The sequence below is a fragment of the Homo sapiens genome, chromosome X, assembly GCF_000001405.40.
Source record: "Homo sapiens chromosome X, GRCh38.p14 Primary Assembly".
In the NCBI taxonomy this organism is placed as follows: domain Eukaryota; kingdom Metazoa; phylum Chordata; class Mammalia; order Primates; family Hominidae; genus Homo; species Homo sapiens.
The window spans coordinates 119120654-119138252 of NC_000023.11; the positions used below are offsets into that span (position 1 = coordinate 119120654).

Below are 17599 nucleotides of genomic sequence, written 5' to 3' on the forward strand. Positions count from 1 at the left end.
TCCCCCCAATTTTCCATTCTTTTCTGGGCAGAAACAACTTATTTTCCCGCAAAGATTCAAAAATAGCTAAAGCAATGGGTGTCTCTTTTAACCATGGACCCTAGAAGAAAAAGAATGTTTCCATTCCATCCTGTAGTGTGGCTCTGAGTGTGGTGGTGGTATAGCTTTGTTAGCAGGGAGCTGGGGAGACACGGAGAGATGGTAACTGCCAAATATGGTAGGTTGGCTGCTGTTGCTCTAGGTCAGTGGCTTGAAAGCTGGATACGGCCTTTGTGACAACCCATTGCCAGACATACAATGTCAGTAGCAAGGGTCTATGTCTTCAGCCTGCTTTCCATTAGGAGACCGCCCTATCCCTAACTGTATCCAACACCCCCCACCCCCACTATCCCATGAATGAAGACGAGCCCTGGTCTCAGCCCTGGGAGTGAGATACAAAGCTGGGTACTGTCCATGTGCTATGTTGCTTTTGAAACCCTAATGGAATCTGAGATGGTTGCCATATATTCAAGTCTATAAATTTGGCCTTTGAAGCTTTCTTTTTTAAAGTGTGGTGGGGGCACCTTTCAATCACCAGCAGCTAAGCCCTCCACAGGCTGTTTTTCAAAATCTAGGAAAAGCACAAAGAGTAGAGAGATCTAGACAGCAGGTATGGGTAAAAACTCACATTTGTACCCAGCAATGTTTATATGGGTCACCTATACACTGGATAACTTATGCCATCACAGGGTACAGCAGTTGCAGTCAGTGAGCTGACAGCTGAGAGCTGACAGCTGTCTGGACTTCTATAACAAAGCCACTGATTTCCCTGTCTCAGCCCAAAGACTATGCATTCCCAAGCAGCAAGTAACTTTCAACATACTCATCCAGTCATGGTCTGCAGTGTGTCACATGCCAGAAAACAGCTCATTGAAGGCTGTTTTTTCTCCAGGGAAGAAAACACAGCTAAATCTAATGAGAAATGGTTGCCTCTAAGTTGTATATTTGCTTATCCACAATGCATACAGGCAGCCCATCTGAATTGAAATGAATGAGCTTTTAAAATACATCGCATAATGATGACTTTGTTCTTTTGCATTGCTGCTTGGAAAGAAATTTATTTTTTTAGTTTTTATTTATTATTTTTTTTTTTTGAGACGGAGTCTCGCACTGTCACCCAGGCTAGAGTGCAGTGATGCAATCTCGGCTCACTGCAACCTCCACCTCCCGGGTTCACGCCATTCTTCTGCCTCAGCCTCCCAAGAAGCTGGGACTACAGGCATCCGCCACCACGCCCAGCTAATTTTTTGTATTTTTAATAGAGACAGGGTTTCACCGTGTTAGACAGGATGGTCTCCTGACCTCGTGATCTGCCCGCCTAGGCCTCCCAACGTGCTGGGATTACAGGCGTGAGCCAGCGCGCCCGGCATTTTTTTTTTTTTTTTTTTTTTGAGATGGAGTCTTGCTCTGTAGCCCAGGCTGGAGTACAGTGGCGCGATCTCAGCTTGCTGCAACTTCCACCTCCCAGTTTCAAGTGATTCTTTTGCCTCAGCCTCCCGAGTAGCTGGAACTACAGACGCCTGCAACCACACCTGGCTAATTTTTAAAAATATTTTTAGTAGAGACAGGGTTTCACCGTGTTGACCAGGCTGGTCTTGAACTCCTGACCTCAAGTGATCCAGCCACCTCGGCCTCCCAAAGTGCTGAGATTACAGGCGTGAGCCACCACGCCCAGCTGGAAAGAAAACATTTCTAACTAAACTTTCTTCCCTTTAACCTCCCAACAGCCACCTTATTCTCTGGCCAGCCCTGACTAGTTCTAAAACTTCTAAAACTGTACTCAAATATTTGGTCTTACAAAAAACAAACTTGAGAACAGAGAAAAGGCATTTCGTTGCTACCACTCTTCATCAAGATATCCTGTGCTGCCACCTTCTTTTATAGGCATCTGTTTAGTTCATATCCAAAAAGTCAATTGGTTTGGTAGTTGGGTTTGCTTTGGTGAGAAGGCCTTTCACTCATTTATTCATTCATTCATTCATTAAATATTTTGGAGTGCCTAATCTCTTTCTCTCTTTTTCTCTCTGTCTCTCTCTCTCTCTGAGACACAATACTAAACAGTGATAACACAGAGATGAAGAAGACCCAAGCACTGCCATTAAGAATCTGTGATCAGGCTCTCAGCATCCCCTGCCCCACATCATGTGTGAAGCCAGGCCCCCAGGAAGCCACAAGGAGGTTTCCCTCTGTTCTTCCAGACAAAGTTTTCTGTACCATACACCACTAAAGAAAACTCAGCAAAAGAATGGAAGAACAACCCAAAGAACTGTTCAATTCAATTCTGTCTTTACACTCAATGTCTCACATTGCATCTTATGATTTCCTTTTTATTGTGTGTGTGTGTGTAAAGCTTATCATTGTTTAGTGACATTTGCCTCCCTTTCTAATTATTCCATGCATGATCACCTATCACTCATAGATTGTGCCACAATTTAGGCAATGGATACACGAGTAAGTTTTGCCAAAGAGAATTTTTGTAAATTTAATCCTATTTAACAGAAGCCTGTGGAGGCATCTTTTGTTTCTACCTCCTTTTACTCCTCAACAAATTAATCTCTTTCTTAGATCTGAATTACTATCTACAGCAAAACCTCAGCTGAATTTGTCAGATCATGGTCTGTTCTGATTGGTTTTTTCTGATGAAGCAGAAAAAGCCTTAGTAAGTAAAACCTGGTAACCATTTTCAAAGAAGATTGCAGGACCTCAGGCAAATCTTTGACTATCAGAGTTGGAGGTGCCAAAGAAGAAATTAGAAAACTGAAAAGTAAACGTGACTGAGTCTAATGATCTGAACTTGTTTTCTTGTGCCTTGCTTCTTTGTCCTAGGAGCTAAATAAACACAGTAAACAAATCTAATTCTGGTTATCAAAGTTTTATTGGGTTACTTACCCTCATCACCGGCCTCCAGAACATCCAGACTGTCAGAAATTTCACTTAGTGATTCAGCCATTGTAGGATGACTAAAATAAAATACAAAGCAAAAAAGCAAAATATCATCATTTGATATTCAGGGCGTAATGCAATCCTTTCACCCTACCCCTTATCCTTCAGTTATATTCTTAAAATAGCCTAGAAAAAATATACAAATGGAATTGCCATTACAGAGAATTATCCTTCCTTTAAAAAAGACAATGATTCCAAATGATTCCATTTACATAAAATGTCCAGAATAGGCAAATACGTAGACACAGAGAATGTCTTGCTCAGGGCTGGGAGGATGTTTTTTGTTTTGTTTTGTTTTGGTGGGGGGGGCGTTGGTAAAGTGTACAAGATTTCTTTTTTGTTTTGTTTTTTTGTTTGCTTGTTTTTTGTTTTTTGTTTTTTTACAGGATCTTGCTCTGTTACTCAGGCTGGAGTGCAGTGGTGTGATCGCAGCTTACTGCAGCCTCAACCTCCCAGGCTCAGGCAAAACTCTCACCTCAGTCTCCCAAGTAGTTGGGACTACAGGCGCATGCCACAACACCCAACTAATTTTTGAATTTTTAGTACGGACAGGGTCTTGCTATGTTGAACTAGAACTCCTGAGCTCAAGCAATTCTCCTGCCTTGGCGTCCCAAAGTCCTGGGATTACAGGCATGAGCCACTGTGCCCAGATAAGGTTTCTTTTTGAGATGATGAAAATGTTCTAAAATTGATCGTGGTGATGGTTGCACAAATCTGTGACTGTATTTAAAACCATTGAATTGTATACTTTAAATAGGTGACTTGTATAGTATGTGAATTATAGCTCAATAAAGCTGTTACCAAAAAAAGACAAATGCAAAAAACCTGATCTATTGTTTTGTGGGTTGGGGCCCATTAACTCTGGATGCCTATTACTATTCACGGGTGTGCCCAGGGAGACAAAATTGTTTTGATAAACACACAGAGCCATAAAGAAAAGACTGAAACATCTGACTACATGAAAATTTCAGGCCGGGTACAGTGGCTCAAGCCTGTAATCCCAGCACTTTGGGAGGCAAAGGCAGGAGGATCACTTGAGCCCAGGAGTTTTGAGTTGAGGCTGGGCAATATGGCAAAACCTCATCTCTACAAAAATTTTTTTTAATAGCTGGGCATTGTGGCATGTGCCTGTAGTCCCAGCTACTAGGGAGGCTGAGGCGGGAGGATCACTTGAACCCAGGAGATTGAGGCCGTAGTCAGCCATGATCATGCCACTGCACTGTAGCCTGAGTGACAGAGCAGGACCCTGTCTCAAAAAAAAAAAAAAGTGAAACTTATGGAGAAGAAATAAGTCAATAAAAGAATGACAAACTAGAAAACAATACTAGCAACAAATATAACAGATACAGGGGCCAAATTTCTTAATTTATAAAGAGCTCATATAAATCAATAAAAGACAAACAACTTGGTCTAAAAGGGACAAAGACTACAAAGCAGTTAGCAGAAAAAGAAATACAAATAATCACATATGAAGAGGCTCCATCCCACTGACAATTAAAGAGATAGAAATAAACATATCAAATAAGTATTGTCATCTATCAGATTGTCAAAATCCTTAATTTGGATGATATTACATTGCTGACGAAGGTGGGAAAAAATAGGGACTCTCATGCACTCTGGAGTGAGTAGTTCTAACTCTCTAAAGAGCAATTTGGCAATACCTATCAAAATTTAAAATGCACATACCTTTTGATCCAGGAACATCACTTCTCGAACATTACCTTATAGATAAATAGTCACACTTGCACACAATAATATACATACAAGAATGTGTATCACAGCATTGTTTCCAATAGTTAAAAACGGGAAACAACCAAAGTGATCATGAAAAGGATAGTTCTCCCATGACTCACTCCATGTCATGCTTCTAAGGAAGCATGTCGGTTGATAATCAAACTTTTAGAAATCAATGCTGACATTATTTTTAGAGACAGCGCCTTGCTCTGTTGCCCAGGCTGGAGTGCAGTGGTGCAATCATAGTTCACTGCAGCCTCAACCTCCTTGGCTGAAGAGATCCTCCCACCTCAGCCTTCATAGCAGCTGGGAGTACAGGCGTGCTCCACCATGCCCAGCTAATACATATATATATATATATATATATTTTTTTTTTTTTTTTTTTGGAGAGATGGGGTCTCACTCTGTGCCCAGGCTAGTCTTGAACTCAAGTGATTCCCCTGCCTTGGCCTCCCAAAGTGCTGGGATTACAGGCATGAGCCACTGTGCCTGTCCCAATGCTTTCATTCTTGATGAAAGTTTGTGTGGGGGGTGGGGGTGGGGTGGGAGGGAGATCTGAGGAGCACCACAACCCAGAGAAAGGGTGCTATAGTCATCTGTGCCAGAAGGCCATAGAAAGGCAAGCAGAGACTTTGTGCCTATGATAACTCTCCTTGAGGTCTTGATGTAACTGAATGAACTATTGTAAAGTGGGGTTAAGTAGATTCTGGAATCCCCTTGCCACTCCAGATCTGCTCTTTTCCCAGACATAGCTATGCTGCCATTGCTGTTTCATGGGTGGGCTTCAGGCCCATCCTGTCCTGCTTTCTAGCTGTAAACCCCTGATGTATCTCCAGAGGTGGGGGGCCGGGGGGCGGGGCTGGTGACCACAGGCTCTAAGGCTAAGGAGAACTTGAGAGTTCACATAGCCAGAGTGACTGAAGCCTTGGAGTGCAAAAGGTTCCAAATCACCATGAGAACTGACAGGGCTGTGGTGTCAAGATTGCTTCAGACCCACTTACTGAGATGCCCTGTGGTTCCCCACAATTCCCCCTCACTGCCACAGGTAATAAACCCAATTTGTTCAACGACAGGTATGTTCCTGGCTGAAAGGTATTGATATTTTAAGTCACTCAACTTTTATGAGTTAATATTACAATTCTGCCTAAAGATGACTTGAGTCCCAGGCCCACACAGTGATCAATAATTACCCCGCTCACACACACATGGAGACACATGCACACACACACCCTCTCCACTCCAATAACCATACCGCCTTTCTTATCATATGCAGACCATCAGGAGAGCCCACATCAATGGATTTACACACCAATGCATTGTCCCAGAATGAATGGCTTTACCCTTGGCATTCCTGTCTCTGCTAGTTTTCCAAGATCTGGAGATCTGGCAGGAGCAAAGAGGAAGGAAAATTCAACATCTGACTGGACACAGTGGCTCACACCTGTAATCCCAACAATTTGGAAGGCCAAGGTGGGTGGATTGCTTGAGCCCAGGGCTTTGAGACCAGCCTGGGCAACATGGCAAAACCCCATCTCTAGAAAAAATACAAAACAAATTAGCTGAATGTGGTGGTGCATGCCTGTAGTCCCAGCTACTCAGGAAGCTGAGGTGAGAGGATCACTTGAGCCTGGGAGGTCGAGGGTACAGTGAGCCAAGATCATGCCACTGCACTCCAGCCAGGGTGACAGGGTGAGAACCTGTCTCAAAAAAAAAAAAAAATATTCAAAAGCTCTTAGGAAATTCAGAGGGAGAACAGGAGGAGTTTGTGTCATTGGTAAGTTCCTGGCCATCTTAATAAACACAGCAGCACCCCCACCCCTGCCACTTTAGAAGCCTTTTTAGACATTGGGGAAATAAACTATCTTAGAGAAGCCTGTGGGAAAAAAAGCCCGTTAACCACAATGTGGGGCCATGGTAGGCTAACATTGTCATTGACCTACCACTGTCAAGTGTAGAAGATAGAAAGGGAAAAAAAAAACACTAAAGAGAAAAATATGAAAGATGAGGGAGAACAAAGAAAGAGGGCATCTTGGCTACATCTGAACTTTTAGAGCACTAATAGAATCATTGCATTTAACCCTTGAGCTTAGACTGTCCTGTCTGAAATTCTTTGTAGCATACTTGCCTTATTTCCCTAACCAAATCCTAAAAGCCCTGAGGCTTTTAGCAGGCACTCTGTTGACAACACCACCATCAACCAATCCAGCTGGACATGTGGAACTGTCTCCTCTCCTAAACAACCCAGCAACTACAGCAAAACACAAATCTCCCCTTGAGTTCAAATTCTCTTCCTGTTACCATCCCATTCCTCTGCATCTCTTTAAAGTAAAATTCTTTAAAGAGTTATCTATACTTACTGCCTTTATGTCCTCACTTTCTATTCTCGTGAGCTCTCCAATCAGGCTTCCAAACTGAACTGCTTCCAAGCCAGTCCACCAACACTGCGCTTGCTGAATCCACCAGTTCCTTTAACTTTCAGCAGCATCTGACGTGATTGGCCACGCCCTTCTTTTTGAATAATTTTATCACTTGTCTTCTGGAACACCACACTCCCTTAATTTTCCTCCTACCTTATTGGCTGTTCCTTCTGGGTCGCCTTTGCTGGATCTCTCTCCTCTCCCTGATTTTGAAATGTAGCACTGCAGGGCTCTGTCCTTGGCTCTCTTCTTTGTCTACAATCACTTCCTAGAACCTCACCATTAAATAGAAAAGTTAACCTGAGCAGAATTGCAAGCCACGTATTTTCAATTTTCTAGTAGCTACATTTTTAACAAGAAAAAAGAAACAGGTGAGACTGCTTTTAATAATATATTTTATTTAACCCAATATAACCACCATATTATGATTATTTCAACATATAGTCACTACAAAAATAATATTAATAGTATATTTTACATTATTTTTGTTCACAGTAAGCTGCCACATCAGCTGCATCAGCCTCCTGCTCCAAATCCCCAGTGGCTTCCCATCAAGCTGAGAGTAAAATCCCAGCCCCTTACCATGGGCCTTATGTGATGCAAGCCCACCCCCATGCTCCACTGATCACCAAACCCGCTACCCCCCTACTTCATCCCTTCACCTAGCCTCACTGGCCCTCCTGGTAATGCCCCCTTTCAATCTCAGGATCTTTGCATTTGCTGCTTTCTCTGCCTGGAGGACTCTTTCCCCACATAGTTGCATGGCTGGCTTTCTTGCATCATTCAAGCATCCAATGTTACTTCCCCCAGAGAGCACGTCCATGATCATCCTAGTTAAAATGCTCCCACTCTCTCTCCATCCCATTATTCTTTTTTTATTTATTTTTTATTTTTCATTTATTTTTTGAGATGGAGTTTCACTCTTTATGCCCAGGCTGGAGTGCAATGGCGCAATCTTGGCTCACTGCAACCTCCGCCACCCGGGTTCAAGTAACTCTCCTGCCTCAGCCTCCCAAGTAGCTGGGATTACAGACGTGACACACCACTCCCTGCTAATTGTGTATTTTTAGTAGAGACGGGGTTTCTCCATGTTGGTCAGGCTGGTCTCAAACTCCCGACCTCAGGTGATCTGCCCACCTCGGCCCCCCAAAGTGCTGGGATTACTGGCGTGAGCCACTGTGCCAGGCCAATTATTCTTTATTAACATCTTCATAGCCCTCACTGCTGCCTAAAATTATATTCTATGTTAATTACTAGTTTTTTGTCTATCTCCTCAACTAGAATGTAAATTCCATAAGGTCAGGGGCCTTGTCTATTTTGATCATCATTGAATCTCCCAGGACCCAGAATAGTGCCTAGAATGAAAGAGGCAAAAGATTTACTGTTGGATCAGATGTGGTGTGTCAGGGGAATAGCAGGCACTCAATAAACGTTTGTTGAATGAATGCATAAATTCAATAAAAGAAAAAAAATTCTTCAATTTTTTATTGAAAAATTCAATAAAATCCACCTTTGTGGATTTCACTCTGAGCTTGATGGCAAGTCACTGGGGGGTTTGGAGCAGGGGGCTGATGCAGCTGATGTGGCAGCTTAGTGTGAACAAAAATAATGTAAAATATATCATTAATATTATTTTTATAGTGATTATATGTTGAAATAGTCATAATATGGTGGTTATATTGGGTTAAGTAAAATATATTATTAAAATAAAAAGTGGTTCCTATCAAAGAACCACCTTTGTGGTCAGAAATTTCTTCAGACACAGAGGCATGCTATACGGGGCAGAGGAAGACTTGTCCTAGCAGAAGAACCCCCTTGTTTTCCAGTTTAGCAAGACCTGTCTTCCCTCCCAGCCCTGGGTTATTCACCTGTACAGAATCAAGCACTCTTGGACCCCTCTTTCCCTTGATACACAGATCCCATTCCTAGATATCCTAGCCACGTGAACCGTGAGTGTGGAGCCCCATTCAGCTGGGCTAGGTCTGGACCCTCATGGAGAAAGATGTTTCAATAAAAGAAACGCTGCCTCTTCCTACTTTCCAGCCACCACCTTTTCTGTCCTTTTTCCCCCACAAGCTGATCTTATTAAATAATTTCCTTCCCAAGTGTCTCCTTTTAGAGGCATCACTGTATATTTCTTTCACGTGCCTCATTATGGCTAATAAAAATTTAAAATAAATTTGTCCCTTAATCATACCATGATTCATTGGTAGTGACCTTGGGGCTGCCTCCTCTGAGCTATACGTTTATTTATGATATTTAGAAAAAGCTACAGTCACCTCACAATCTCAAAAAAGGCACAGTGTTCTCTCTGAAATATAACCATGAGCCTCCCCGCTTAAACTTGTCCACCAGCTTCCTGCTGCCTGCAAGATAAAAGCCAAGTTCTTAACACTCAAGGCCCTCTGCAATCTGGTGTTCTCTGCCCACTGGAGGGGGTCCAGTCTCCCAGCAGCCCACCCCTGACTCACAGCCCCATGCTCTGACCTCCCAGAATCACCATGTTCTTTTGTTTTCTCTGTGTTCCACACAGGTTGTGCACTTGGCTTGGAACATCGTCTCTCTAATTCCCACATCCTTGAAATTACACATATGCTTCAAGACCCAGCTCAAAGGTACCGGCCACCCATGCCCCATGCTCTCAGACCTTTGCGCATACCTGTTGTCATAGTTGATATCACCTTGAGAACAGTGACCATGTTTTGATTATCTGAGTATTACCAGCACCTAGCACAATACCAGGCACGCAGGACGTGCTCACTATATATTTTTGTGGATGGATGAATGCAGGGGGTGGAGAGGGTCTTGCAGTGGCAAACAGAAATCAGTGGGAAAAGTGGTCTTTTTTAAACATATGGGGACACATTGAGACACACTTTCAGTAAAAGACCCTTCTGCATGAAGTCCCATGAAAAAGCTGGCAAACCGAATGAGGGAAGAGGAACTATATGTTTTTATCCAGTAAATTATGAGAGGCTTTCGGAACCACTTCCAAGGACCAAACATAGTCATGTAATAATGGTTATCAGGAAACCTGGCAGAGCAGAGGTATCGAGTCTCGTTATCAAGTCATTATTAAAGTGCTTTGTTTGCTTCTCTAGGCCAACCCCAGATGCTTAGGCCCCAGAGCTGCCTTTTCCTTCTGAAACTGGCTCATTTGAGGGTTGAACAAGGGTTTTGGGGGAAAAAGAGGGGAAAAAAGGGGAAAAGGCCCTTCTTCCAAGGTTGTTGAATTTTTTTAAACCACAGCCTGATTTGGCTTCAGGGATTCAGAAGACTTTTCCTGACAGCTCTGTTGCCCTCCCGGAATGGAGAATGCTAATGGAAAGCAGCTGGCCTCATGTTGTTGGTTTTCTTTAAACAATGTAATAGGATGAAATGTATTTCACAGAGTCTGCGGTAAACAGAATTCTAAGATGACCCACAAGATTCCCACCCCCTGGTATGCATGTCCTGTAAATCCCCTCTCCTTCAGTGTGGGTGGACCTAACCTAATCAGGTGGGCCTCTGAAAAGGAGGGTTTACATGCTCTCACTTATACGTGGGAGCTAAACATTGCGTGCGCATGGACATAAAGATGGGAACGACAGACACTGGGCACTGGGGACTACTAGAGGGGAGAGGATGGGAGGGAGCAGCGTTGAAAAACTACCTATAGGGTACTATGCTCACTTCCTGGGTGATGGGATCAATCATACCCAAAACCTCAGTAACATGCAATTTACCCATGTAACAAACCTACCCATGTACCCCCGAACCTAAAATAAAAGTTGAAAAAATAAACAAAACACACATTTGAACATGAGTAAATAAAAGGAGGATTTAGAGATCAGATAATAGAAGCCAGAGAGATCAAAGCTGCAGCAGATGCTGTCCTGTTGGCCTTGGAGTAACCAACTGCCATGTTGTCGAGGGCCACATGGCAGGGCATGGCAGGACATGACATGTGGCCTCTAGTAGCTGAGAGAACCCCTTAGCTAACAGCCATCAAGAAACCAGGGACCTCAGGCAGGGCACAGTGGCTCACGCCTATAATCCCAGCACTTTGGGAGGCCGAGGCAAAGGATCACTTGAGCTCAGGAGTTTGATACCAGCCTGGGCAACACAGGAAGACCCGTCTCTACTAAAAATACAAAACGTAGCCAGGCATGGTGGTGCACACCTGTAGTCCCAGTTAAGGCTGAGGTGGGAGGATTGATTGCGCCCATGAGGTTGAGGCTGCAGTGAGCTGTGATTGCTCCACTCTAGCCTGGGTGACAGAGTGAGACCCTGCCTCAGAGGGGGAACAAAAGGAAATCAGGAACCTCAGCCCTATAGCCTCAAAAAACTGAATTCTGCCAACAACCATTCAGTTTAAAAGATAACCCTGTACCTCAGAGGAGACCTCAGCCCTGACGGCGATTGAGCCTTGTGAGACCCTGAGCAGAGGACTCAGCTAAGCCCAGTCTGGACTCTTGACTCATAGAAACTGAGAGATGGTATATTTGTGTTGTCATAAGACAGTATTTTTTTTGTCATTTGTAACATAGCAATAGAAGACTAATAGAGTCCTAGAGGCTCTAGCTCTAATTGCAGATGAAGCCAAAACTGGGGTAGGTTTGGAGCCATGTAAGCTGCAACACAGACCTGGTATAGAAGCACACGAGGGGATTATATGCTCCCTTCCCCCAGCACACCCCACTGCAAGCACTTCTTTACGAAGAACTTAAGTTGCTACTCTCTCAAGCAAATTGTCAGCTGGACTGATTAGACCCTGCCAAAATGTTAGAACATGCAAAATCCCCTTAAAGGCTCAGCTTGTTTGAGATGGCTTTCCCTACCCTCAGGACAATGTCTTTAACCCCTTTCAAACTATTTTATTTGAGACAGGGTTTCACTCTGTTGCCCAGGCTAGAGTGGAATGGCATAATCATAGTTCACTGTAACCTTGAACTCCTGAGCTCAAGCAAGCCTCCTGCCTGAGCCTCTTGAGTAGCTAGGACTTACAGGCATGTGCCACCATACCCAGCTAATTTTTTAAAAAACTTTTCTTGTTGGGGGGGTCTTGCTATGTTGCCCAGGCTGGTCTCAAACTACTGGGCTCAAGCAACCCTCCTGCCTCTGCCTCCCAAAGTGCTGGGATTACAGGCATGAGCCACTGCACCCAGCCTTTCAAACTATTGCTGTACTTTGTGCCCTCAACCAAGAGTATGTGCATCCACCAAGCAGTGGCTAAAGAGCCCTGGAGTTGAACATTCTGAGGTGTGGTAAGGGGAGAGAGTGGTGGTGATTGGATTCTTCTAGAGGGAGCGTCTGATGCCAGGACGCCAACTCATTGAGGAACGAGGAACCACCCAAAATGAAAGTATCAGAAAGGGCCCCTATACCCCTTAATTGCAAAATAAAGTATCCTCCAGGGGAAAGGAGGCTATAATCACCCCACAGCTTCCTCTTTTCTTGCAGGAGGTTGGCAGGAGGGCATCAGAGGTCCAGCCAGCTCCTGAAATGCAGCCCTTGGACACTCCGTAATGAAGATGGCTGCCCTTCAGATCACACAATGAGCTCCAGAAGTCCTACTCCACGAGTCCACCAGTAGTCAGTATGATTCCATTGTGGAAAGTCACCCCACTGATTGGCAGAGTTCATTTGGTGGGGTAGGGGTTTGATACCAGGTTCCACCCAGGATACAACTACGTCCATGCACAAATCAGGGCTGTGGGATATAGACGGAATGATTGGCATTTGCCCAGCAGGGGCCAAGAGCAGCAGCATTTCTCAGCAAGCCCAGGGCCAGCTAGCTAGCCTTGAACTTCTGTTTGTTTGTGCTCCTAGGAGCAGGTGTGAGCACCCTCACGGGAACCTGGGTAGAGGAGGAGAACAATCTTTTTTTCTTTTTCTTTTCTTTCTTTTTTTTTTTTTTTAAATACTGTGTCTCGCTCTGTCGCCAGGCTGGAGTGCAGTGGTGGAGGAGAACAATCTTGATGGCCATTTATGCTGGCTCTGAGAGCCCTGGGTGGGTATCTACCCAAAGCAGAAACTGATGCATGGCTTTGGTGGCACATTATTATATTTTTTAATTTGGAAATTTTGTATTGATACATTATGTTTGTACATATTTATGGGGTACATGTCATACTTTGTTACATGCATAGAACATATAATCATCAAGTCGGTATTTAGTAGATATTCATCACCTCAAATATTTGTGTTGGGAACATTTCAAGACCTCTTTTGTGGCTATTTTGAAATATACAATATATTATTAATTATAGTCATTCTACTCTGCTATGGAACATTAGAACTGATTCTTTCTATCTAACTGTATGTTTGTATTAACCAACCTCTCTTCATTCACCCCTGCCACCCATACACCCTTCCCAGTCTCTGGTAACTATCATTCTACTCTCTACCGCCATGAGATCAACTTTTTCATCTTCCACATATGAATGAGAACATGTATTATTTGCCTTTCTGTGCCTGCCTTATTTCACTTAACATAACATCCTCCAGGCTCATTCACATTGCTGTGAATGACAGGATTTAATTCTTTTACATAGCCAAGTAGTACTCCATTGTGTATATATACTGCATTTCCTTTATCCATTCATCTATTGATGGACAGTTAGATTAATTTCACATCTTCACTACTGCGATGGCACACTACTTAAAATGACATCTTCAGCAAATTCGGCAAAGTCAACCCTCCAAATGTCCATGGATGTCAGCAGCAAGACATACCAGGGAGAGAAGATCATCTTTCTACATTCCACACCCTCACCTGTGGGTATTTGAACATCTGGATCATCAAACAGATGCCCAAATAGGCTCTAGGGGATGCCTGCCTCAGATACTTGCTGCAGGACAATTGTCACTGAGGCCTTTCTTACACACTAGAAGGCCAAAGAATAATGGAATCCACCCTCTCCACCTCGCCATCACGAGGAAGCCCATTTCAGAAATACCTCTGAGCACCCTGATTGTCATCCAGTGAACATGCAAAGAACTTGGCCTAAAAGGTCCTTTCTGAGATCTCTCTAGTGGCCTAGAAGCCTAGCAGACAGGGAGTCCTATTCCATCTTACAATCCACAAATCCTGTGATCAAAGGCTCTGTTCTTGTGCAGTGAGGGGCAATTAATATTATGCAATTAATCCAACTAATGAAATTGCTGAGTCCTCAGTCTGTGCCAGGCAGGCACTGTGAAAAATTATTTTATGTGCATTATCTAATTGAGTCCTCACAAGAGTTCTATGTAGTAGGCATTGTTATTTTGTTTTTATTCTTTTCACACCCACTTCCCAGATGAGGAAACTGAGTCTTGCTGAAATTAGGCAGTCTGTGCAAGGTCATACACGTTGTGAGTAATAGAGTTAGGACTCAAACCCAGTTCTGGATTTTAAAGCCCATGATTCGACCACTACACTCTTCTCCTTCCTCACTTGGCAAAATCTGGTCAATTTGAAATGCCCACTCACTGCTGCCCTAGAGAATCTTCCTTACTGGTCTATTACATGACCCGAAAATAGAATAGTTCACCAGGCCATTAGCAGCCCCCAACACCTTTGCAGATATTTGCTGACATTTTAACAATGCACAGAGTCCTGCCAAAAATGACCCACTAGATACATATATTGTGATGAGGGATCTTAAGGGAGATAGGTCTGCAGCATGGGGACCCTTGGGTGGTCAGACTGAAGTGCTGTTCCAGCATTGGGGAGGAGGGGCAGGAAAGCATGAGAACACTGGGAGACTCAAGAGAAAAGTCAGAATTGAGGGGCCCTAAGGATGGACTTCACAGCTTTGAGTGTGTGTTGGGTGCCAAGAGCTCTGCCCCCAAATGCTCTGCTAGTTCTCAAGCCCATCCCAGCAGAATGTGTCTAAGGCTTTTGATCTTGTTGTTGAGTTACTGCAGTAGCTGTTATTACTGCTTCCAGTGGTCAATAATAACACCAGTTGAGGGAGGAGGTAAAAATCTCCAAAGAGGAAAAAAAAGTAAAAGTAGAAGAAGGCCAGGTGCAGTGGCTCACGCCTGTAATCCCAGCACTTTGGGAGGCCGAGGCGGGCGGATCACCTGAGGTCAAGAGATTGAAACCATCCTGGCCAACATGTTGAAACCCCGTCTCTACTAAAAATACAAAAATTAGCTGGTTATGGTGGCGGGTGACTGTAATCCCAGCTACTCGGGAGGCTGAGGCAGAGAATAGCTTGAACCTGGGAGGCAGAGGTTGCAATGAGCCGAGATTGCGCCACTGCACTCCAACCTGGTGACAGAGCAAGATTCCATCTAAAACAAACAAACAAAAAAAAAGTAGAAGAAAGGGGGTTGCTAGTGGAGGATGTGAATTTTACATAGCTCATTGGATTCTGTGGGATTTGATATAGATATCTCCTGCTCTTAGAATTCAAAAGCCGTCAAGGAGTGGAGACACCAGGAGTCATTTTCTGGCCAGGGGAGGTAGGGGAGATAAGGGAGAAAGAACAACCAGTCCTCTGCAATGTGTCCCCAGCCCAAGCTGAACTATCTGTGTCCTTTGTGCAGGCACATTGTAACTTTCTGGTTTCATCTTGCAGCCTTTTGGCCCACAGGGTGGAGGTTGGGGAAAGCAATCTCAGCATCACCCCATGGTTATGAGAAATAGCCTTTTGGTCTCCCAGTTCTGGAGGGATATAGAAGTCTCTGAGTGAATTTCATCTTAGCAGGAAGGGAATGGGCATAAGGAGGGGTGATGCTGATGTCTTTGTCCCCAGAGGGCACATACCCACAGAAATAACAATGCCATGGCCAGGTGCAGTGGCTCATGCCTGCAATCCCAGCACTTTGGGAGGCTGAGGCCAGAGGATCACTTGAGCCCAGGAGTTCAAGAGCAGCCTGGGCAACATGGCAAGACCCCATCTCTACAAAAAAAAATTTCTGAAACTTTAGAAAATTTCTAAAAATATTTTAGAAAAGAAATAACGCCTCCAAGAATCTGAGATCACTGGACATTCTCAGTCAAGGTGACATCTGAGAATTTAGGACCTCAGATTTCTTTAACCCTGATCCCATGTACAGCCCTGCAGCTCAGCAGAGGCAGCTCCCTACCTGGAGTTGTGGGAAGAGTTATCCGAAGGTTCTCTAGCCCCAAATCTTTCCTTTTACCCCAGCCATGGCATCACCCTCTCTTTCTACCTGGCCTAAAATATCCACCATCAGAATCCTTCCCCTTGAACCAGACAGCAAAGTCAGAACATTATTTCCCAGAGCCTGTCTCATTAGTAACCCCAAGGTCTTTATGCACAGCTACTATGTGCTTAGACCTGTTTCAGGTGCTATGTAGGCAATGACAAAATAAAATCGTTAACATTTACTTGACAATGAATATGTGCAAATGCTGTTTGAAGTGCTTCGGATACATCATCTCATTTAATCCTCAGAACAATCCTATGAGGTAGGTACTAGTTATTTTCACTTCTCTCCCATTTTGTAGATGAGGAAACAGAAAGGCTAAGTAACTGCCCAGGGGCACATGACAAGTTCGAATTCTGAAGGTAGGATTTGAATCTAGGCAATCTGACTCCAGAGCCAATAAGTGCTACAGAAAATGACCAATTCCCTGATGACAAAGAGAAAGAATACACATGAAACAATTGAGAATAGAACTACATTAGGAATTACAAAGCCCGCGTCCTGAAATCTGCTGTTCCAAAAAGTTGTCCTTGCAGCCTTGCCCGAGTCATAGCCCCTCTTTGGACCTCAGTTCTCACATTTGTAAAATAAGATGAGGCAAAATTATCATGTGTTAGGACAAGGATTCTCAGGGTTAAACTCTAGGGCAAGCTTGTCCAACCCATGGCTCCTGTGCCGCATGCGGCCCAGGATGGCTTTGAATGTGGCCCAACACAAATTCATCAACTTTCTTAAAACATTATGAGATTTTTTTTACAATTTTTTTAAGCTCATCAGCTGTAGTTAGTGTATTTTATGTGTGACCCAAGACAATTCTTCTTCCAATGTGGCCCAGGGAAGCCAAAACATGGGCCACCCCTGCTCTAGGGCACTGGCTACATGTGGAAGGAGTCTGCAGGCCCCAAGAGTTGTGGAACAAAAAGCTGGAGTGTACTTTGCTTACATGTGTGGTACAGGGGGCTAGATGCCAGAAATGAGGCAGAGGGGTAAGATCAAGTCAGAAAAGGGTGTCCATAACACATGGCAAAGCTGAGAATGGCAAGGAACAGCAAAGCAAGGCTAGTATGCTGAGATTTAGATGTAAATGAGGTCAAAGAACAAGGGAAGGTGAAACTGAAGGGGAACAACATAGGAGGCCGTCAAGCTACAGAAGGGACCAGAAGGTGCTTTTATGGGTGGCTCCATCTACAGCAGAAAGGACTAAAAGGGACATTTCCATGCAGGCTGAAGTCACCATGAAAGACTCAATAGAGAAGGCAGAAGTTTGGTTTGGTTTGGTTGTTTTTTTTTTTTTTTTTTTTTTTTTGAGATGGTGTCTCGCT

The 17599-nt window shown here is 43.9% G+C and overlaps 1 protein-coding gene across 4 annotated transcripts in view; it reads right to left on the reverse strand.

Moving 5' to 3' along the window:
* Positions 1-17599, reverse strand: part of KIAA1210 — a 72496-nt gene that overhangs the window by 42019 nt on the left and 12878 nt on the right. For 3 of the 4 annotated variants that reach the window (XM_017029689.3, XM_017029688.3, NM_020721.1), the window contains one exon: positions 2929-2999. In XM_017029689.3, the coding sequence (XP_016885178.1) occupies positions 2929-2999 (71 nt within the window). Of the gene's footprint in view, positions 1-2928; positions 3000-7073; positions 7160-17599 lie in introns of those variants that run through there. The other variant, NM_001394962.1, reaches the window with a different exon arrangement.